General features: G+C 43.3%; 1 protein-coding gene across 9 annotated transcripts in view, besides 1 other annotated feature; it reads left to right on the forward strand.

Moving 5' to 3' along the window:
* AP4S1 (adaptor related protein complex 4 subunit sigma 1) overlaps positions 1–24130 on the forward strand; it is a 71345-nt gene that overhangs the window by 21837 nt on the left and 25378 nt on the right. For all 9 annotated transcript variants that reach the window (NM_001254729.2, NM_001128126.3, XM_011536371.4 and 6 more), the window contains 2 exons: positions 19184–19392; positions 22901–22987. In NM_001254729.2, the coding sequence (NP_001241658.1) occupies positions 19255–19392; positions 22901–22987 (225 nt within the window). In that variant the 5' untranslated portion in view covers positions 19184–19254. The remainder of the gene's footprint in view (positions 1–19183; positions 19393–22900; positions 22988–24130) is intronic.
* Positions 349–874: an enhancer, noted in NCBI's record as "H3K27ac-H3K4me1 hESC enhancer chr14:31516497-31517022 (GRCh37/hg19 assembly coordinates)". NCBI's record gives its function as "activates a minimal SCP1, AML or CMV promoter by ChIP-STARR-seq in naive H9 embryonic stem cells {active_cell/tissue: H9 hESC(naive)}" and the evidence as "EXISTENCE:reporter gene assay evidence [ECO:0000049][PMID:30033119]".

Raw genomic sequence — 24130 nt, forward strand, 5'->3', positions numbered from 1 at the left:
GCTGTAGCATTTACATTCCCACCAGCAATGTATGAACATTCCAGGGTCTCCACATCTTAGCATTTGTTACTGTCTGCCTTTTTTATTATAACCATTAAAGTAGGTGTGAAATTGTATCTTACTGGGGTTTAAAACCACGTTTGTATTTTCCCAATGATTAAGGGTGTTGAACATTTTTTCACATGCTTATTTGTCATTCATATATCCTCTTCAAATTTATTTCCTAATTCATTGTCTGTTTTTTAATTATGTTGCTTGTCTTCCTGTTAAGAATTCTTTATATATTCTAAATCCAAGTCCTTCATCAGATTCATGGTTTGCAAATCATTTTTTCCAGTCTGTGACACTTCATTTTCTTAATAGTGTCTTACGTGGGTTTTCTTGTGGTGTGTGGGCAGGGGGAAGTTGTTTGTTGGTTGGTTTTTATTTTTTGAGACACAATCTTTTTTTTTTTTTTTTTTTTGAGACGGAGTCTTGCTCTGTTGCCCAGGCTGGAGTGCAGTGGCGCGATCTTGACTCACTGCAAGCTCTGCTTCCTGGGTTCACGCCGTTCTCCTGCCTCAGCCTCCAGAGTAGCTGGGACTACATACAGGCGCCCGCCACAATGCCTGGCTAATTTTTTATGGTTTTTTTTAGTAGAGACTGGGTTTCACTGTGTTAGCCAGGATGGTCTCGATCTCCTGACCTTGTGATTCGCCCGCCTCAGCCTCCCAAAGCGCTGGGACTACAGGCGTGAGCCACCGTGCCCAGCCTTTGAGACACAATCTTGCTGTGTCACCAGGCTGGATTGCAGTAGTGCAGTCTTGGCTCACTGCAACCTCCTCCTCCCAGGCTCAAGCCATTGTCATGCCTCAATGACAAGCCTCCCGAGTAGTTGGGATTACAGATGTGACTGCCACACCCGGTTAATTTTAGTAGAGATGAGGGTTTTGCCATGTTGGCCAGACTGTTCTTGAACTCCTGGCCTCAAGTGATTCGCTCACCTCGGCCTCCCAAAATGCTGCGATTACTGGTGTTAGCTACCACGCCCAGCCTTAAATTTGTTTTTTCTGAAAGTTTATACAGGTTTAGTGCTTGCATTTAGGTCTATGATCTGTTTTGAGTTATTTTTGTATGTGGTGTGACATAAAAGTATAAATATATTTCTTTAATTTTTTTTTTTTTTTTTGAGATGGAGTTTTGCTCTTGTTGCCCAGGCTGGACTGCAGTGGCATGATCTCAGCTCACTGCAACCCCCGTCTCCCAGGTTCAAGTGATTCTCTTGCCTCGGCCTCCCAAGTAGCTGGGATTACAGGCGCCCACCACCACACCTGGCTAACTTTTTGTATTTTGTATTTTTAGTAGAAACGGGGTCCCACCCTGTTGGCCAGGCTGGTCTTGAAATCCTGACGTCAGGTGATCCACCCACCTCAGCCTCCCAAAATGCTGGGATTACAGGGATTACAGGCATGAGCCACCATGCCTGGCCTATTTTTGTAATTTCTTAAATAAAAATTCTAGCCAGGACCACGCACAGTGACTCACACCTGTAATCCCAGCACTTTGGGAGGCTGAAGTGGGTGGATCACGAGGTCAGAAGTTAGAGACCTGCCTGGACAACATGGCAAAACCCCGTTTTGCCAAAAATCTCTGCCAAAAATACAAAAATTAGCTGGGCGTGGTGGCACATTCCCGTAATCCCAGCTACTTGGGAGGCTGAGGGAGGAGAATCACATGACCTCAAGAAGCAGAGTTTACAGTGAGCCAAGATTGCGTCATTGCACTCCAGCCTGGGTGACAGTGAGACTCTGTCTCCAAAACAAAAAAACAAATCTAGCCACGTGCTGGTAAGTGCTTGACAAAATAATGGTTCTTCCGTATCTGCTGAGAACATTTTCAACTTTGGGAGAGACACCCTGTGGTTTTGAGGGAGGAGGCTACCACCCAACCAGCCAGATCCATGACCAAATGAAAGAAATTATTCATAATACCTATATGTTTGTGTAGGACTATCCTATTAGTTATGTCCCTCTAGAGAACCCTGACTAATGTCCAGGCACAGTGGCTCACGCCTGTAATCCCAGCACTTTGGGAGGCAGGGCAGATCACCCTAGGTCAGGAGTTCAAGACCAGCCTGGCCAACATGGTGAAACCCCATCTCTACAAAAAAAAACAACCAAAAACCCATTTCTACAAAAATTAGCCAGGCATGCCGGGCGTGGTGGCTCACGCCTGTAATCCCAACACTTTGGGAGGTCGAGGCGGGTGGATCATGAGGTCAGGAGATCGAGACCATCCTGGCTAACACGGTGAAACCCTGTCTCTACTAAAAAATACAAAAAATTAGCCAGGCGTGGTGGCGGGTGCCTGTAGCCCCAGCTACTCGGGAGGCTGAGGCAGGAGAATGGTGTGAACCCGGGAGGCAGAGCTGGCAGTGAGCCGAGATCGCACCACTGCACTCCAGCCTGGGTGACAGAGCAAGACTCGGTCTCAAAAAAAAAAAAAAAATATATATATATATATATATATATATATATATATGTATATATATGTACACACACACACACACACACACACACACACACACATAAATTACCCTCAAGCCTAAACATCTGCATTATACTGGTAAAAATTTAAATATTTAAACAGTATAACCATAAAGGTGCATGTAGACTTATATACTCAGACACACACACAAACAAGCCCTCTTCACTTTATTTTTTAAAATTTTTATTTATTTGTTTGTTTATTTTGAAACACGGTCTTTCTCTGTCACCCAGGCTGGAGTACAGTGGCACAATCTCGGCTCACTGCAACCTCTGCGTGGGCCACCATACACGGCTAATTTTTTTGCATGTTTTGTAGAGTCAGGGTTTCATCATGTTGCCCAGTCTGATCTCGAACTCCTGGGCTCAAGCGATCTGCCACCCTTGGTCTCCCAAAGTACTGGGATTACAGGCATGGACGCCATTCCCGGTGCCCTCTTAACTTTATTTATTTATTATTTTTTGTTTGGTTTTGGAGGAGTCTCCCTCTGTCGCCTAGACTGGAGTGCAGTGGCATGATCTCGGCTCACTGCAACCTCCACTTCCCAGGTTCAAGCAGTTCTCCTGTCTCAGCCTCCTGAGTAGCTGGGATTACAGGCATGCGCCACCACACCCTGCTAATTTTTGTACTTTTAGTAGAGACAAGGTTTCACCATGTTGGTCAGGCTGGTCTCGAACTCCTGACCTCAGGTGATCCACCTGCCTTGGCCTCCCAAAGTGCTGGGATTACAGGCGTGAGCCACCACGCCTGTCCTAATTTTTGTATTTTTAGTAGAAACGGTTTCACCATGTTAGCCAGGCTGGTCTCGAACGAACTCCTGACCTCAGGTGATCTGCCCACCTCAGCCTCCCAAAATGCTGGGATTATAGGCGTGAGCCACCGTGCCCGGCCTATTTGTTTATTTTTTTACTTGGAGTGTTCTTCAGTGTTACCCCATCTTCACTTTAATATGAATACTTATATCTCTCTGATCTCTGCTTTAAAAAAAACTAACTTTTTATTTGGAATTATTTTATTTATTTTATTGTTTAGAGACAGGGTCTTGCTATGAGGCTGGTCTCAAACTCCTGGCCTCAAGCAATTCTCCCACCTCAGCCTCCCAAGTATCTGGGATTACAGGTTTGAGTATTTGGAATAATTTTAGATTTACAAAGGTTGTGAAGATAATACAGAGAATTTTCGTATACACTTGCCCATCTCCCCTAATGTTATCCTCTCACATTACCATGATACATGTATCAAATATAACAAATTAACATGGATAGCATTATTATAACTAAACTCAGATTTTGTTCACATTTCACCAGTTTTTTCATTAGTCCGTTTTCTATTCCGGGCTCCCCTCCACGATACCATGTTGCATTTAGTCATCTTATTTCCTTAATCTTCTCTGGACTGTGATGGTTTTTTAGTCTTTTCTTGTTTTTCATGACTGTGGCAGTTTTGGAGAATACTGGTGAGAATGTCTCTCAAATTGGGTTTGTCTAATGTATTTTCTCATGATTGGCTGGGCTCGGTGGCCCATGACTGTATTCCAGCACTTCAGGAGGCTGGAGCGGGAGGATCGCTTGAGCCCAGGAGTTCAAAACCAGCCTAGGCAACAAAGCAAGACCCCATCTCCACAAGAAAATAAAAAAGTTAGCTGGGTGTGGTGGTGCATGCCTGTGGTCTCAGCTACACAGGAGGCTGCGACAGGAAGATCCCTTGAGCCCAGGGAGTCAAGGCTGCAGTGAGCCATGTTTGCACCACTGCACTCCAGCCTAGGTGACAGAGCAAAACCGTGTCTCAAAAAAAAAAAAAAAATACGGTGTAGATATGCTGGACAAAGGGGATATTCACATCCCAGGCACAGCAGAGCAGGATGGCACAAAACTTCATCATGCTACTCAGAACAGCGTGCAGTTTAAAACTTAAGAATTGTTGCAGGCACTGTGGCTCACGCCTGTAATCCCAGCACTTTGGGAGACCGAGGCGGGCAGATCACCTGAGGTCGAGAGTTCGAGACCAGCCTGACCAACATGGAGAAACACTGTCTCTACTAAAAATACAAAAAAATACAAAAATCTTTATCTATTTAGATGTTCACTTTGCATAGTTGTAATCCATGTGAATGTAGAATTTGGCATTTTGATTTTGCGACTTAACATTATTTATATACATTTCCCCATTCTTTTACAGAGTTTGCGTATTCAATTTATTTATTTATTTATGAGACAGAGTCTTGCTGTGTCACACAGGCTGGAGTGCAGTGGTGTGATCTCAGCACACTGTAACTTCCCCCTCCCGGGTTCAGGCAATTCCCCTGCCTCAGCCTCCAGAGTAGCTGGGATCACAGGCATGCACTACCACACCTGGCTAATTTTTGTATTTTTAGTAGAGCCGGGGTTTAGCCATGTTGGCCAAGCTGGTTTCAAACTCCTGAGCTCAAGTGATCCACCTACCTCAGCTTCCCAAAGTGCTGGGATTACAGGCATGAGCCACGATGCCCGGTCCATATTCATTTTAATAATTAAAAGACATGGCCGGGTGAGATGACTCACTCCTATAATGCCAGCACTTTGGGAGGCCAACGCAGGAGGATTACTTGAGCCCAGGAGTTCAAGACCAGCCTGGGCAAGATGGCAAAACCTCATCTTTACAAAAAATACAAAAATTAGTTAGGTGTGATGACGTGTGCCTAGAGTCACAACCACTAGGGAGGCTGAAGTGGGAGTATCACCTGAACCAGGGGACATCGAGGCTGCAGTGAGCCATGATTGCGCCACTGCACTCCAGCTTTGGTGATAGAGTGAGACCCTCTCGGGGAAAAAAAAGACATGAAGTTGGTATTAACAATTCTCAGTTTGTAGTATCTGCGCTTGCTCCATGTTTCACTATTTATAATGTTATAAACATTTTTATGCATATAGATTTTAATTATACCTTAGGATAAATTCCTAAGACTGGGATGCTTGAGTTAAAAGGTAAAATCATTGGCCAAGCATGGTGTCTCACACTTGTAATCCCAGCACTTTGGAAGGCCAAGGCGGGCAGATCACCTGAGGTCAGGAGTTCGAGACCAGCCTGGCCAACATGGTGAAACCCCTTTTCTACTAAAAATACAAAAAAAATTAGGCAGGCATGGTGGTGAGTACCTGTAATCCCAGCTACTTGGGAGGCTGAGGCAGGAGAATCACTTGAACCTGGGAAATGGAGGTTACACTGAGCCAAAATTGTGCCATTGCACTCCAGCCTGGGTGACAAGAGCAAGACTCCCTCTCAAAAAAAAAAAAAAAAAAAGGTAGAATCAATCATTTTCATGATTTGTTGTTGCATTCTAGCAGGTTACATGGCAGAAAGTGTATAGCAATCTAAAAGACCAGTAAAAATGTGTAAATATACATATCTATTTCCCTGTAGACTTATCAGTACTTTTTCCCTAATTTAATACAAGAAAGGAGGAAAGGAAAGAAGTCAGTGTGCTAAATTTTTTTTTTTTTTTTTTTTTTTGAGATGGAGTTTCGCTTTTGTTGCCCAGGCTGGAGTGCAATGGCACGGTCTCAGCTCACTGCAACCTCTGCCTCCTGGGTTCAAGTGATTCTCATGCCTTAGCCTCCCAAGTAGCTGGGATTATAGGCACCCACCACCATGCCCAGCTAATTTTTGTACTTTTATTAGAGACGAGTTTTCACTATGTTGGCCAGGCTGGTCTTGAACACCAGATCCCAGGTGATCCACCCACTTCAGCCTCCCAAAGTGTTGGGATTACAGGCATGAGCCACCGCGTCCGGCCTTGTGCTAAATGTTTTTACAACAATTATGTCATTTGCCTCATTTAATTTTCTCCATCAGTCAGTAAGGTAGCTATTACTCCCAGTTGACAGTGCAAGGGCTGGGTGCCATAGGCCCCCGGGATGATGGCCAGAGGGCAGATACCAAAGGTCAAGTCCTGGAATATTGCCCAAGCCAGAGCTGGAAGAAGAAATCCAAAGCAAGTCACGAAGAACAGAGGCCAGAGAAGGAATGGGGGCCAAGGCACTGGATCAAATGAAGGGAACCGAAAGCCTGAGCTGGGTTGGGAAATGGGAGGTCCTTTGGATGAATTCTAAATTCTAAAACACATCTTTTTAGTGACTTTTTTCTTTTTTTTTTTTTTTTTTTTTTTTTTTTTGTAGAGACAGTGTCATTATGTTGCCCAGGCTGGTCTTAAACTTCTGGCCTCAAGTGATCATCCTGCCTCAACCTCTCAAGTGCTGGGATTGAAGACATGAGCTACCATGTCTGGCCTTTAGTAACCTTTTATAGGATCCAGCCAGGGCTTGTGAGTGGAATGGGTTCATTTAAAGATACCAGAAGAGAATAGTTGCTAAGACATTTTAGAGTTCATCAATTTATCACATTTATGTTTAAAAAAATAATAAAGTTGCTACATCTGCATACATATTTACATGATGTACAGAGGAGGTCTAAAAGGATAGGCACTAAACTTAAAAACATTGGATATATCTTTGGGAAAATGAATGGGATTCAGGGCAGGAACAGGATATGAGGGTATTTTATATGTCTGCTTTGTTGGAATACTTATGTGACTTTTTTAAAGGAAAAGTTATTGCTAGAAAAAGCTTTCATTCATTCTTTCATTTATTCAGTTAACATTTATTGGATGCTCACTGTATACTAGGCACTGTGTGAGGATCTGAAGTAAGGTATAGATTCTACCCACTAGAAGAAGTTCACGTTCTGGTATAGTGTTTTTCAAACTTTGACTCAGTCTGTTAGCAAGTTCTGAAATTAAAAATCAGTTGGTCATATTATATTATAACCCATAGTATAAAATAAAATATCTGTGAGGCCATACTTACATAAATAATAATTGAGTAAATAAACAAATGACCTGGGCAACATAGCAAGACCCCGTGTCTACAAAAAATTTTTTTTTAATTAGCAGGGCATGGGCTGGGCCCAGTGACTCACGCCTGTAATCCCAGCATTTTGGGAGGCCGAGGTGGGCGGATCACAAGATCAGGAGTTTGGGGCCAGCCTGGCCTATATGGTGAAACCCTGTCTCTACTAAAAATACAAAAATTAGCCAGGCGTGGTGGCAGGCACCTGTAGTCCCAGCTACTTGGGAGGCTGAGGCAGGAGAATTGCTTGAACCCTGGAGGGTTTAGGCGGAGGTTGCAGTAAGCCAAGATTGCGCCACTGCACTCTGGCCTGGGTGACAGAGCAAGACTCTGTCTCAAAAAAATAAATTAATTAAATAAAATAAAATTAGCAGGGCATGGAGGTACGTGCCTCTAGTCCCAGCTACTCTGGAGGCTGATGTGGGAGGATCACCGGAGGCTGGGAGCTCAAAGCTGCAGTGAGCCATGATTGCACCACTACACTGTAGCCTGGGTGATAGAGCAAGACTCTGTCTCAAAAAAAAAAAAAAAAAAAAAAAAAAAAACAGTGACAGGTCATACTGATAGTATGTGCCTTTGACATGATATGATGCAAATGGCACTTTACCTCTGTGCTCTTTCTCCCAAAAAGACATAACCTCTGTCTAATAATAACATCAGACAAATCCCAATCAGGGGACATTCCTTAAAATACCTGACCAATACTCTTCAAAACTGTCAAGGTATATCTCTGTATATCATGTAAATAATTAAATATATATATTACATTATATATATATATTACATCTCACATTTACATTATATATATTTGTATACTGGGCCACAATGTAAAATCTTTCTCTCACAGTCACAGCTTTAAAAGTCTAAATTGCTTTTCTGGTAGGAGATCTCAACATGCAATAAAATGGTTATTATATAGACTACAGACAGGATTATCAGCTCTTTGTAGTTGGGAAGAGAGGATTGGAATAGGCAGGAAAAGCTTCACCAGGGAAAAGACAACATGTTATCATGATGACACTGGCTAATCCTTATGTAGCACTCGCTGTGTGCCAACTGCCTAGCCTGTTCTAGGAATGTTACATATCCTAACTCCTTTAATTCTCACAACAACCTAGGAAGTGAGTACTGTTACTGTGGCCATTGTACAGAAGACTGAGTTCTAAAAGATTAAGTATCTTGTCCAGGGTCACAAAGCCACTAAGTAGTAGAGCCAAGCAGTCAGGCTCCAGTTCATGCTCTTGACTATTAAACTATACTGTACTAGTACTACATGTTTTCTGGGTGAAAATTTGCTTTTTAACTTTGGGGATTTTATTTAAATCACTTTTCAGGAGGCAAAAAAGAAATGTTTTTGTCTGATATTACCTTAGTGTTTGTGTGTGTATTATTACAATGTTATGATTCTGGGGTACATAAAAAGCATTTAGAGCTAGAAAGAATGTTAATTGTCATCAACTATCATTTTCTTTTTTTTTTTCTTTTTTCTTTTTTCTTTTTTTGTTTTTTTGAGACGGAGTCTCACTCTGTTACCCAGGCTGGAGTGCAGTGGCATGATCTCGACTCACTGCAACCTCAGCCTCCTGGGTTCAAGCGATTCCCCTGCCTCAACCTCCCAAGTAGCTGGGATTACAGGCGCCCACCACCATGCCAGGCTAATTTTTTTTATTTTTAGTAGAGATGAAGTTTCACCATGTTGGCCAGGCTGGTTTTGAACTCCTGACCTCAAGTGATCTGCCCGCCTCGGCCTCCCAAAGTGCTAGGATTACAGGCATGAGCCACTGTGCCCGGCCTTATCATTTTCATTTCTAAATCTACATACTCTACTTTTTGTTTTCTCTTTAGAGACGAGGTCTTGCTCTGTTGCCCAGGCTGGAATGCAGTGGCTATTCACAGGCATGATCATAGTGTACAGCAGCCTCAAACTCTTGGGCTCAACCAATCTTCCAAGTAGCTAATACTATGGATGCATGTACCTGGCTACATACCATACTTGTTTTTTTTCTTTTCTTTCTTTTTTTTTTGAGATGGAGTCTCACTCTTGTCGCCCAGGCTGGAGTGCAGTGGCGCGATCTCAGCTCACTGCAACCTCCGCCTCCTGGGTTCGGGCGATTCTCCTGCCTCAGCCTCCTAAGTAGCTAGGATTACAGGTGTCCGCCACCACACCCAGCTAATCTTTGTACTTTTAGTAGAGATGGGGTTTCGCCATGTTGGCCACACTGGTCTCGAACTCCTGACCTCAGGTTATCCGCCCGCCTTGGCCTTCCAAAGTGCTGGGATTACAGGCGTGAGCCACCGTGCCCAGCCTATACTGTACTTTTTCATGCAGTGATTCGTTTGGCATTTTCCAGATTAATTGTGCAGCGGTGTTAGAAAAGAGAATAATGACTGGATCACTTCCAAAGCTACCTGAAGTTAATGCTCATTAAGCTCAAGTGAACATTTGGCTGGGCACAATGTCACGTCTATAATCCTAGCACTTAGTGAAGCTGAGGCGTGTGAATCACTTAAGTCCAGGAGTTCAAGACTAGACTGGGCAACTGGAAACCCCGCCTTTACAAAATATACAAAAGTTAGCTGGGCATGGTGGTGTGCACCTGTAGTCCCAGCTACTTGGGGGGCTGAGGTGGGAGGATTGCTTGAGCCTGGGAGGTCAAAGTTGCAGTGAGCTGTGATTGTGCCACTACACTCCAGCCTCGGTGACAGAGTAAGACCCTGTCTCAAAAAACAGAACAAAAAAAAGCTTAAGTGAACATTTAATGACACTGATATGTAGAGTGAGGCAATGTGATAGATTAAAGACAGCATTGTAGTATGAGTCAGGGGAGCAGAATTCAGGACTTCACTCTACATCTCTGATCAGTTTTCCCATCTACAAAATGAAGGGAATACACCTCAGGGATGACAAATATAAGGTGCATATGTTGCCACTCCCTGCTTCCTAACCTACAACTGACATGCCATCCTTTTGTTTTGAACCTGGAAGCAGCTCCAGAATCCTTCCCAAAGCAGCTATTAACAGTTAGTCACAGTTGACACCCAAGTTGAAACCCATTTGCCATCTTTGGATATGACAATCTGTAAAGACTCTCCTAGGTCTAACTCCCAGAAATACGCCATCAGAAATATAATACCTGCTCAATTCAATGTGTACTTCGTTCAGCCTCTTCAATCTCTCTTTTCTCTGGGCATTAAGTTTACATCATGTGGTTGCTGGGACATGGATCTGAGCATATTCTACTTTTATGTTGTTTTGGTTTATTTTATTTTTATTTTATTTATTTATTTTTTGGAGACGAAGTCTTGCTCTGTCACCCAGGCTAGAGTACAGTGGTGCAGTCTCGGCTTACTGCAACCTCCGCCTCCTGGGTTCAAGTGATTCTCCTGCCTTAGCCTCTCAAGTAGCTATGATTACAGGCACCCGACAACACGCCTGGCTAATTTTTTTGTATTTTTAGTAGAGAAGGGGATTCACAATGTTAGCCAGGCTGGTCTCGAATTCCTGACCTCAAGTGATCCACCTGCCTCGGCCTCCCAAAGTACTGGGATTACAGGCGTGAGCAACTGCACCCAGCCAGTTGTTTTTTTTTTTTTTAGAGATAGGGTCTCCATCTGTCACCCAGGCTGGAGTGCAGTGGAGTGATCATAGCTCACTGTAGCCTAGAATTCCTGATCTCAGCCTTACTCTCCCAAGTAGCTGGGATTACAGACATGAACCACCACACCCAGCTCTTGTTTTTTCGCTTGTTTGTTTTTTGTTGTAGAGGCATGGTCTCCTATATTGCCTAAGCTGGTCTTCAACTCCTGGCCTCAGGTGATCCGCCCACCTTGGCCTCGCAAAGTGCTGGGATTACAGGCATGAACCACCTCGCCTGGCCCCGTATTCTACTCTGAATCTACCAGTCTCACTAGTCTTAAAAGCATGTTCATGCTAATCCAAGGAAAATGCTTGTTTGATTCCTGCTCTAAGTAACCTTAACCTTCTTTTCCTCTCGGGGTTTTCTAGATTCCCTTGCTAGGGCATCCTAGCACCATTTGTGTAATGCTTTCCCCAGTGAAGTTGCCTTCTTTCTTCTTCCTTGATGTATATACACACATTCACACAAGCTTTTGCCTGTAGCATCTACTGACTTCCTTCCTGGTCATCAAAACATCTTCCCCATCTCTGTGTGTGTATGTGTGTGTGTGTGTGTGTGTGTGTGTGTGTGTGTGTGTGTGTGTGTGTTTAGAGATAGGATCTTGCTCTGTTGCCCAGGCCAGAGTAGGAGTGCAGTGTTGTGATCATAGCTCACCACTGCCTCCAATTCCTGGGCACAAGCAGTCCTCCCACCTCAGCTTCCTAAGTAGCTGGGACTATAGGTACACACCGCGATGCCTGGCTTTTTTTTTTTTTCCTTTTTTTTTAGTAGACATGGCGTCTCACTGTATTTCCCAGGCTGGTCCCCAACTTCTGGGCTCAAGCTATCCTCCCACCATGGCCTCTCAAAGTGCTACAATTATAGGTGTGAGCCACCACACCTGGCCCCTTGTGTGTCGTTAAATGCAAATAGTTTAAAACAGGAAGTTCATACCTGCTCCCTGACCACTCCCAACACTTGTCTAAGCATATTCCCTTCTTACTGTCCTACCTCAGTTTCATAATTATTTCATCTCCCTCCTCCTTGATGATTAATAACCATGATAGGTGCTTACAGCATTCATCTTCAGTTCTCAGATGTGTACTTGTCTCTTGAGTCTCCACATTGTTTATTTTGGCATTGTATATTCTATAGTAAAAATAGTTTACAGTTGTGTTTCTCTAGTTTTTTACCACTGCATCATGCTACAGTTAAAATTGTCTAATGTTTAAGAGCATGCAAGAAAAGAAAGATATATGCAAGTCTTTAGAAGCCTTCATTTACTCTTTTCAAAACTTAACATCCTAATGAATATCAATTCAACATGTCCTTATTTGTCATCCTTGTTCTTGAAGTCAGTGGGAAGGAATGCTGTGCTTGTAAGGTAGAAACCAATTTGATCCCTTGTTGTAACACCTCAGTGAGATCTTTTTACATCTCATTTTACCACTTAATGCAAGCAGGACATTTAAAGGCAAAGGTTTGGCCATGAGTACCTTTGAGACATTTTTTTCCTTTTACCTGGCAGTTGAAATCCAAGGTATAGAATTATAATTTCTAACTATCATAAAGATGGTTTTTAAATAACTTTGCTGAAATGGAGTAAAAGAAAGGATGGTAATCTTAGCTTCCTGGTAACCTGCCGTAATTTACTGACAATAATTTGTGAGGCAAATAAAAGCAGCAGTTAATACCAAATGATTAAACACCACAGAGTATGTTGCAATCCCACCCACAGCCATGAGCTTATCTTCCTGGAAAAGGGAGTGAATGGCCACAGGCCTCCCCCATGGCACAGCTGTTATATCCCCAGCTGAGCTGGTCTAGATAAATGAAGGCAACAACCCCAGGCTTGGCCACACTGGGCCTGGCTCTTTACAGCTTAGTGTGTAGAATTGCTGTAAGATAACCACCTGTCTGATAGGGCTTAGGAAACAAGAAATGAGCTGGGAGGACAAAAAAATATATATATATATATTTATTTATTTATGTATATATATGTATTTATGTATATATGTATATATATTTATATGTATTTATGTATATATGTATATATATTTATGTATATATGTATATATATTTATATATTTATGTATATATATTTTTATATATATAAAACTTAGTCCAAGTATTATATCATAATGTTGTTTCTAGTTGCAGCAAGGAAATAATACAGTTGACTCTTGAACAACACAGGCTTGAACTGCACGGATCCATTTATATGCACCTTTTTTTCCCACCAAACACAGATGGAAAATACAGTGTTTGTGGCATGCAAAACCCCAGTTATATGGGGCTGATTTTTGTGTAGGTAGGTTCCACGGGGCCTACTGTGGGACTTGAGTATGCACGGATTTGGTTATACTCAGGGCAGTCCCGGAAACAATACCCTGCATACCAAGGGTTGACTGTAATGAAAACAGCTCAGTTGTAAAGTGAATATTTACTGTAGACCAGCGCCTTTGCTAAGTGCTGTTTGTGTTACCTATCTCACTCTCACACCTCAGAGGTAGCCATCCCCCTGGGGTTCAAAAAACCCAAGCAACTTAAGCGTCACATGGCAGGTACGTGGCAAAGCCAAGACTTGAGCCAGGTCTGTCTTACTCAAGTCTGAGCTTTTAAGCAATGCCTTCTCCTGTCTCCTCAAGCAGGCAAAATCCCCAAAGAAAAAAATACTTGCTGGTTTCAGCTTGACTTAGCTGCTTAGCTCAGTGCATAGTGGGACCCACCCTCTATTGTGGTGTTCCCCAGCCTCTGTATTTGCTGGGATTCTGATTAGTCCAAGAACCACTCATTCACCAAAGGTCCTGTTCTTCCATGCAATCTGCTTATTTTGCTAGATGCATGGGATGACACATGAATAAAGGACATTCAGGCATCTAGTGAAATATGGAGAATCATAAAGGAGAGTCTTGACTCCACTTTTTTTTTTTCTTTTTGAGACAGAGTCTTGCTCTGTCACCCAGGCTGCAGTGCAGTGGCACGATCTCGGTGCACTTCAACCTCCGCCTCCCGGGTTCAAACAATCCTCCTGCCTCAGCCTCCTGAGTAGCTGGGACTACAGGTGCATGCCACCACACCCAGATAATTTTTTTGTATTTTAGTAGAGACCGAGTTTCACCATGAGGTCTGGAACTCCTGACCTCAAATGATCCACTTGCCTCAGCCTCCCAAAGTGCTGGGATTACAGGCATGAGCTACTGTGTCTGGCCTAATTTTGGTATTTTTTAGTAGAGAGTGGGGTTTTACCATGTTGGCCAGGCTGGTCTCAAACCCCTGACCTCAGGTGATCTGCCCACCTCAGCCTCCCAAAGTGCTGGGATTACCGGCGTGAGCCACCGCTTGCCTGGGCAGTCAACTCTACCCTTCAACAAGCATGGATGCCTCATCAAACAGATAATTAATGTTTTGTGCTCAAAGAGGCTGTGAAGTAGATCAAGCCCTGTAAATCAGCCTCTGACTGGTATTCTGACAGCCGAGCATTTAGCAAACTGACTCTTAACAGACATCTAAGGAACTGTTGCTAAGATCGCTAGCTGCAAATGCTTACCTGGGATGACCTAGCCCTGTAATAGTCTCCCCCGCTTTCAGTCTCCTAAGCAGCAGATTGGGAAACTGGTCCCTGCTAAAAGTGACACCTAATATTTGTGAATCAGTTGCAAGTATACATTAAAATCAATTTTTTTTTTTTTTGAGATGGAGTCTCGCTCTGTCACCAGGCTGGAGTGCAGTGGTGCGATGTCAGCTCACTGCAATCTCTGCCTCCCGGGTTCAAGTGATTCTCCTGTCTCAGCCTCCTGAGTAGCTGGGACTACAGGTGCATGCCACCACACCCAGCTAATTTTGTATTTTTAGTAGAGACAGGGTTTCACCATGTTGGTTAGGATGGTCTCAATCTCCTGACCTCATGATCCGCCCGCCTCGGCCTCCCAAATTCGGTGCTGGGATTACAGGCATGAGCCACCACACCTGGCTGTAAAATCGCATTTTTAACAAAGATTTCAGATTGATCTATATGCCACATTTATTCTACATCATTTCTCATTTATTCTAGACACAAATTTAATGTTTTGTATATAGCAAATAGTGATAAAGTGAATGGGAAGATTTTTTTAATCCTGGAGGTTTATTTATTTATTTATTTACTGAGACAGAGTTTAGCTCTTGTCACCCAGGCTGGAGTACAATGGCACAATCTTGGCTCACTGCAAACTCCACCTCCCAGGTTCAAGTGATTCTCCTGCCTCAGGCTCCCAAGTAGCTGGGATTACAGGCGCCCACCACCATGTCCAGCTAATTTTTGTATTTTTAGTAGAGATAGGGTTTCACCATGTTGACCAGGCTGTTCTTAAACTCCTGACCTCAGGCAGTCCGCCCTCCTCGGCCTCCCAAAGCACTGGGATTACAGGCATGAGCCACTGCACCCGGCCAGGTCTATTTATTTTTAAAGGACCTTAGGAATCACCCTCCTCAGGGTTCTCAACCTACAGCCCAGGATAGGTGTCAGGAAAGTCTGTGGATGTCCTGAGGTTCTTTTGCAGCATTTAAGTACATACCTCCTTGCACATTTTTCTGTAAAAGATTCATTAGCTTTCTTTGTATTCTCAGAGGGGTCTGTGTTCTAGTTTAATATACTTGCATTAACAGATGGCGATGCTAAAGTTAATGAAATCAAATGGATTCTCTGATAGCACACAGTAATAGTTCACTAGGAATTGGCCAGGCGCGGTGGCTCATGCCTGTAATCCCAGCACTGTGGGAGGCCAAGGTAGGCGGATCACGAGGTCAGGAGATCAAGACCATCCTGGCTAACACGGTGAAACCCTGTCTCTACTGAAAATACAAAAAATTATCTGGGTGTGGTGGTGGGCACCCGTAGTCCCAGCTACTCGGGAGGCTGAGGTAGGAGAATGGCATGAACCCGGGAGGCGGAGCTTGCAGTGAGCCGAGATTACGCCACTGCATTCCAGCCTGGGGGACAGAGCACGAGACTCCGTTTCCAAAAAAAAAAAAAATCACTAGGAATTTATGTTATAAGCAAATATTGGCTGGAGGCAGTGGCTCATGCCTATAATCCCAGCACTTGGAAGGCTAAGGCAGGAGGACCCCTTGAGGCCAGGAGTTCAAGACCAGCCTGAGCAAAATAGTGAGACCCCCATCTCTACAAAAATAAAAATAAAGGCCGAGCGCAGTGACTCATGCCTGTAATCCCAGCACTTTGAGAGGCTGAGGCGGGCAGATCACTTGAGGTCAGGAGTTCGAGACCAGCCTGGACAACATGGTGAAACCCATCTCTGCTAAAAATACAAAAATCAGCAAGGCATGGTGGCAGGCACCTGTAATCTTAGCTACTCAGGAGGTCGAGGCTGGAGAATCGCTTGAACCCAGGAGGCAGAGGTTGCAGTGAACTGAGATCGACTGCACCATTGCACTCCAGCCTGGGTGACAGAGTGAGACTCTGTCTCAAAAATAAAAATAAATAAAAGTAAAAATTAGCTGGGCATAGTGACATGTATCTGTAGTCCCAGCTACTCCCAGCTACTTGAGAAACTGAGGCTAGAGGATCACTTGAGCCTAGGAGTTCAAGGCTATAGTGAGCCATGATTGTACCACTGTACTCCAGCCTGGGCCAGTATCCTCAGGACTGTTAAAGTCATGAAAAACGAGGAAGACTGAGAAACTGTCCCAGACCAGAACAGACTAAAGCAACATGACAATTAAATGCACTATAGTATCCTGGATGGGATTCAGGAACAAAAAGAGGACATTAGTGGAAGAATCGATGAACTCTAAATAAAGTCTGGAGTTAATAATAATGTACTAATATTGGTTTCTTAGTTTTGGCAAATGTACCATGGTAATGTGAGATGCTAACAATGGCCATCTTTGCAACTTTACTATAAATCTAAAATTTCAAATGTTAAAGTTCATTTAAGAACTATTACTCATCTTAGTTTTTTGCACTGGTTCTCACAGATATCACAAAACGTGAATACAATATTGTCAGCTGAGCCAGACCAGCCAGCTCTGGTGGTCATGATGAAAGAAGGACTGGCCATTGATGAATATTATGCTCACTTGCATTGATTTTTCCAAAACCTATGTTGAGTGTAAGAGAAACAAATATGAGATTCAATACAACTGAGTTAGACATAACAGCACAAGCATGAACCCCTGAATGAGGAGGATGAGTTAGGGGTGTCATGGATCCATGCATGTGCTTGGCCTTTGAACCGCAGCCCACCTCTGACACAAAGTCATGCAGTGACTTTGGGTATCTTCTTTTCTTTTTCTTTTTTTTTAAGAGTCTTGCTCTGTCACCCAGGCTGGAGTGCAGTGGCACAATCTCAGCTCACTATCACCTCCACCTCCCGGGCTCAAGAGATTCTCCTCCCTTAGCTGGAGTACAGTGGCACCATTTCAGCTCACTGCAACCTCCGCCTCCCGGATTCAAGCAATTCTCCTGCCTCAGCCTTCTGAGTAGCTGGGATTACAGGTGTGCACCACCATGCCTAGTTAATTTTTGTATTTTTACTAGAGCCAAGGATTCACCATATTGGCCAGGCTGGTCTTGAACTCCTGACCTCAAATGATCCGTCTGTGTTGGCCTCCCAAAATGCTGGGATTACAGGCATGAGCCACCGCGCCTGACCAAGTGTCTTTATTTCTAAACTTTAACCTGCTTGACCTTAAAGTAAGGATAACAGACTTGATAAGGTGGCTCACGCCCGTAATCCCAACACTTTGGGAGGCCAAAGCAGGAGGATCACTTGAGCCTAAGTGTTCAAGAACGGCTGGCAATATAGTGAAACCTCATCTCTACAAAAAGTTAAAAAATTAGCTGGACGTGATGGTGCATGCCTATAATCCTAGCTATTCAGGAGGCTGAGGTGGGGAGATCACTTGAGTCCAGAGGCAGAAGCTGCAGTAAGCTGAGATTGCACCACTGCACTCCAGCCTGGGTGACAGAGCGAGGCCCTATCTCAAAAATAAAGTAAGGATAACAGAAGTACCTACCTCAAACAATTGTGAGAATTGCTCAGCACAGCACCTTACAGAGCCTGTTATAGGGCCTGGAGGAATTTGATAAATTGATATCACTACTATTATTTCCACCACTAAGGAAAGAAAAGCTTTACTATAGATCTTGTCTCCATTGCCCATAAAATAAAGCCCAAATTCCTTAGCATGACTTCTAAAGCCAATTATATCATATGTGAGTAGCTTAATTTCCTGCAACTATTCTTCCCATGCCCTGAACTGCAGCCCCAGTGAACTTTCCAGAGCTTTCATACCTGTTTTCTCTGCCTCAGTCTTCCCCTGTAGCTCATTCTTCACGACCTCACATCAGTGCCCCTTCTCCGGGAAGCAGTTCTTCACTCTCCTGTGATGTTCCTTGTCCCTCCCTTCTGTACACCTATGGAAGCGGACCTGTCCCAGTTATAACTCATCACCTTGTACTGCCGTTGTTTACCTACCTAGCACCTTTGCTAGATGTAAAAATCAGAAGATCAGAAGTCCTTACTATTTCATCTTCACATTCTTCTGGTGCTTGACACATCGTTGTTACCCAGCAAAATGAATGAGTAAATTGAATGAATAGAAACAGAAGTACTGCAGTTGCTCAGAATTATTTTGGAGAATAACTGATGAAAATTTATCATTGGTTTTTATTTTTTTATTTTATTTTATTTATTTATGTATTTTTTTGAGACAGGGTTTTGCTCTGTTGCCCAGGCTGGAGTGCAGTGGCGCAATCTCGGCTCACTGCAAGCTCCGCCTCCGGGGTTCACACCATTCCCCTGCCTCAGCCTTTCAAGTAGTTGGAACTACAGGCCCCCGCCACCACGCCCAGCTAATTTTTTGTATTTTTAGTAGAGACAGGGTTTCACCATGTTATCCAGGATGGTCTCGATCTCCTGACCTTGTGATCCACCTGCCTCGGCCTCCCAAAGTGCTGGAATTACAGGCATGAGCCACCACACCCGGCCTGGTTTTTATTTATTAAAACCTCAATTAGTTCATAGGAATAAAGACTGATATTATCAGATGATATTTACTACTACTTTATTTACTGTTTATCTATAAAAACATTTAATATAATTATTTGAGAAATTTGATCTTGCCTTTCTGGTTTTGTTTGTTTTTGTCTTCAAGGTTCCAGTTACAGCCATCCCTTGTCATAACTTTTGAACTGTATTTGGAAAAATACTGGCCAGGAAAGAAAAATGATAAAATTTTTCCTCATGGTGAATAAACAAGGGCAGACTCGACTTTCTAAGTACTATGAACATGTGGATATTAATAAGCGTACACTTCTGGAAACAGAAGTCATAAAGAGCTGTCTCTCTCGATCCAATGAACAAGTAAGTCTCTGGTTCTCTCTTTTATCTCTGCATTCAACTCAGCCTTGGCAGATTTGTTATTAGTGAGTCTCAGGGGCCATCATTTTCTTTGAGCTATATTCCTTCAACAGCTACTAAAGAAAATAAGTGATGTGAAATGAAAAACTGAAAGAAGCATAGCTCTCTTTACATCCCTTTAAGAAAACAAAAACAAGGAAAACCTGGAAGAATCTTGGCTTCTTATTTAAGTCAGCATATTTGTCTCAATGCACCTTGGAAACGACAGTAAAATTTCCTTCTGCTAATAGACACACCTCTTCTTTTTTCATTCCTATGAATTCAGCCCTTGAAACTCTCATGAGTGCCTGTATCAGGTAGCTTTCTATAAGCCAAAAAATGAAGATCAGATGATTGGTGTAGAGGTGAATACTGAAGACCCATTTTGTGCCAGAGGATAATAATATTATTCTCAAATCGGGTGGTTTTATTCTGCTTATTATTTTTGTAAATATACCACCAATATAATACTGAAACCAGTGATTTAAAAACAAAACAAATTTGATTATCTAGGTGGGGAAAACGGAAATTAAGAATTCATGTGAAACAACAAATTTATCCATCTTCCAAAATGGAGGTTAAGGCTGGGTGCAATGGCGCACGCCTGTAATCCCAGCACTTTGGGAGGCTGAAGCGGGTGGATCACTAGAGGTCAGAAGTTCAAGACCAGCCTGGCCAGCATGGTGAAAAATTAGCTGGGCGTAATTGTGCACAACTGTAGTCCCAGCTACTGGGGAGGCCGAGGCAGGATTGTTTGAACATGGGAGGTGAAGGTTGCAGTGAGCCAAGATTGCTCCATTGCTCTCCAGCCTGAGCGACAAGAGCAAAACTCTGTCTCAAAAAAAAAAAAAAGGAGGTTAAATAGGAATTTTTAAAACTGCGTCCTTTTTTTTTTAATTTAATAGTTTTTTTTTATTATACTTTTAAGTTCTAGGGTACATGTGGACAACATGCAGGTTTGTTACATATGTATACATGTGCCATGTTGGTGTGCTGTACCCGTTAACTCGTCATTTACATTAGGTATATCTCCTAATGCTATCCCTTCCCCCTCCCCCCACCCTACCACAGGCCCCGGTTTGTGATGTCCCCCACCCTGTGTCCAAGTGTTCTCATTGTTCAATTCCCACCTATGAGTGAGAACAATTTTTTTTTTTTTTTTGAGATGGAGTCTTGCTTTGTCACCCAGGCTGGAGTGCAGTGATGCCATCTTGGCTCACTGTAACCAACCTCCACTTCCCGGGTTCAAGCGATTCTCCCGCCTCAGCCTCCTGAGTAGCTGGGATTACAGGCTCGTGCCACCACACCCAGCTTATTTTTGTATTTTTAGTAGAGATGGGGTTTCACCATGTTGGTCAGGCTGGTCTCGAACTCCTGACCTCAAGTGATCTGCCTGCCTCGGCCTCCTAAAGTGCTGGAATTACAGGCATGAGCCACCGTGCCAGGCCAAAAACTGAGTCCATTTTGCAAAGAATTTTTTCCCTAGCTCATACCTTGAACACAATATTTTTTTTTTTTGAGACAGAGTTTTGCTCTTGCCCAGGCTGGAGTGCAACGGCACGATCTTGGCTTACCACAACATCCACCTCCCAGGTTCAAGCGATTCTCCTGCCTCAGCCTCCCAGGTAGCTGGGATTACAGGCATGTGCCACAACACCCGGCTAATTTTGTATTTTTAGTAGAGACAGGGTTTCCCCATGTTGGTCAGGCTGGTCTTGAAATCCTGACCTCAGGTGAGCCACCCGCCTTGGCCTCCTAAAGTGCTGGGATTACAGGCATGAGCCACCACGCCCGGCCCCTTGAACAAAATTTTTATGAAGAATTTTATTTAAAGAATTACTTAATCCGGTCCTAAACTTGCCAAATCTGTTGGAAATTACTCAACAACTGAGGGAAAATCAGAAAACTTGTTTAACTTGTGCATTAATTTTGTCAGTTCTCCATTTCACTGCATAATGGGCTGCCTGTGAGCACCAGTGCTAAATCATCAAATATTAAACCACATCAGTGCTCAGAAATAACATGGTACAAATGTGTCTCCCTTGGCATCTCAACTGATTTTTCAGTTGGGACATCACAGAGTTCCTCTTTGAATTACTACTTTGGCCTGCCATGGCACACACTGTTTCATGTTGTCAGACGGAAACAGAAACTGTTAAAGGGCTGTGTTAATAGCCACATACTTTAAGTAAAAGTAAATACTCTTAGAAGCATTCCTGTTTGAATCTTTCTGCAGAATGCAGGCACTCAATTTCAAACATCATTTTCACTGATAGGTTACCCTTTGAAATGAAAGCTTTGGAATGAATATACTGTTAGATACTTTTGATGCATTCTGAATTATTTTAGATTTTAAAAGGAGCCCACTGGGCTTTTGGCATAATCAGGCACCAAAGTAGCATAATAGCAGCTTAGTTTTTATCCATAGAGGTGCTTTGATACTTTTTTTTTTAATGTCAGAAACTCCTGAGAAGCTTTGAAAAATGTTCCTCAGTTCTTTCAAAAAGGTTGTGTTTCCTTGAAAGATCCAGCTGAGCAGAGATCCCACTGGCTCTACAGTGAGCCAAACGCTGCAGAATGCTTCTGTACTCATTACCTTTATCCTAATTTTAAATAAAAGCCTAAATTCCTCCAGATGGCTTTCCCATAGAGGAATTTCCATGGTCAAAATTTGCAGCTTCATTCCCAGGTGCATCCGGGCACCTAAGAGCAACACATCCAGCACACCCTAAAATCCAGAAGAAGAGTAACCTTGTGCTTCTGCCCACTCTCCACCTCCCATCCACTCAGCGCCTTCCCATAACTCTTTGTACAAAGGTGATAGGAAAGGGATGAATGAGAAGGGAGTTTTTCCATGTGTCAGTGGTGGCAGGCTAGTTATTAATTCATATGAAGCAATGTTTACAATGCGAGATTTTGTCTAGCATCTGCCACAAAGAAGGCATCTTTAAATAATTTATAAAATAATCTACATGGATTCTTTTCATGAGTCTAGGAAAAAGCAACCAATTTTTGTTTGTTTGTACCATGTATTTGGCTCCTCAATGACTATTAAATAGTACAAAACTGAGAATATCTAATTGCTTCCAAAAAAATCTTGGGGAGGTGAGAAGAAGAAAATCTTTATCGTGTTTGCTTATTTTCGCTTCAGAGGCACTTTAAAATGCTGATTATGCATTACCTTTGCCTGCTGACTTCCACGCAGAGCAAAGCAAAGGAACAAGAAGGAGTGTAAGTGGGAACCCATGTGAACCCTCAGACTTTTTTCCAATACTTCTCCAGTTTCCACTAGAGATGCTTCCAAGTGGTCCCCTGAATATTGTGAGAAGGTCACCAATGGTTGTGTAACATCTTAATATTCTATATTTCTAGGAATGTTTGTCGGGTAAATCAGAACCTAGAACTTACGCATGTCATTTTAAAGAACTCTCTCTCAGCCACAGGAATTAATATCTCATTGTGTTTTGTCTAGTGCTCTTTCATTGAATATAAGGATTTTAAGCTGATATATCGGCAGTATGCAGCTCTCTTCATTGTGGTTGGAGTTAATGACACTGAGGTAAGATAATAGAAGAGCCCTTGGAAAATGCAAGAATTTCTTTCTACTTGCCTCCCTAAGAATTATGACTCTCTTGATTTTTTTTAGACAGAATTTTGCCCTGTCACCAGTCTGGAGTGCCGTGGCATGATCTCAGCTCACTGCAACCTCCACCTCCCAGGTTGAAGCGATTCCCCTGCCTCAGCCTCCCAAGTAGCTGGGATTACAGGCATGTGCCACCACACCCGGCTAATTTTTTGTATTTAGTAGAGATGGGGTTTCACCATCGAGGCCAAGATGGTCTCGATCTCCTGACCTCATGATCCGCCTGCCTCAGACTCCCAATTTATTTTTATTTTTATTTTTTTAAGAGACAGGCTAGAGTGCAATGGCACAGTCATAGCTCACTGCAGCCTTGAATTCCTGGGTTCAAGCAGTCTTCCCATCTCAGCCACCTGACTAGCTGGGACTGCAGGCTCACACTCCCAAGCCCAACTTATTTTTTTGCTTTTATTTTCTTTTAGAGATGGGATCTCACTGTATTGCCCAGGTTGGCCTAGAACTCCTGACTTCAAGCGATCTTCCTGGCTTAGCCTCCCAAGTAGCTGGGAATACAGGCACAAGCCACTGTGCCTGGCTAGGATCTTGGTTTCTAGCAAGGATGAGGAAAGCTGTGTGGAAGAGAAATATCTAGGATGTTTCTTGGATTAGATCAGGAGCTTGCAAAGTAGAGAAGCCCCAAACCACAGAATGCCTTTTTCTGTTGTAAGCAATACCAGTGCCCTGCCCTTGTTCTCTTGAACAATGAAGCAGGTCAGATAAGTATAGAGGCCGACTGATTTTGGCATTAAACATGGGCTGAGGCCGGGCGCGGTGGCCCATGCCTGAAATCCCAGCACTTTGGGAGGCAGAGGTGGGCAGATCATGAGGTCAGGAGATCGAGACCATCCTGGCTAATACAGTGAAACCCCGTCTCTACTAAAAATACAAAAAATTAGCTGGGCGTGGTGGCGGGCGCCTGTAGTCCCAGCTACTCGGGAGGCTGAGGCAGGAGAATGGTGTGAACCCAGGAGGCAGAGCTTGCAGTGAGCCGAGATTGCGCCACTGGACTCCAGCCTGGGCGACAGAGTGAGACTCCATCTCAAAAAAAAAAGGGCTGATATA

This window comes from Homo sapiens, chromosome 14 (genome assembly GCF_000001405.40).
Source record: "Homo sapiens chromosome 14, GRCh38.p14 Primary Assembly".
Classification (NCBI taxonomy): domain Eukaryota; kingdom Metazoa; phylum Chordata; class Mammalia; order Primates; family Hominidae; genus Homo; species Homo sapiens.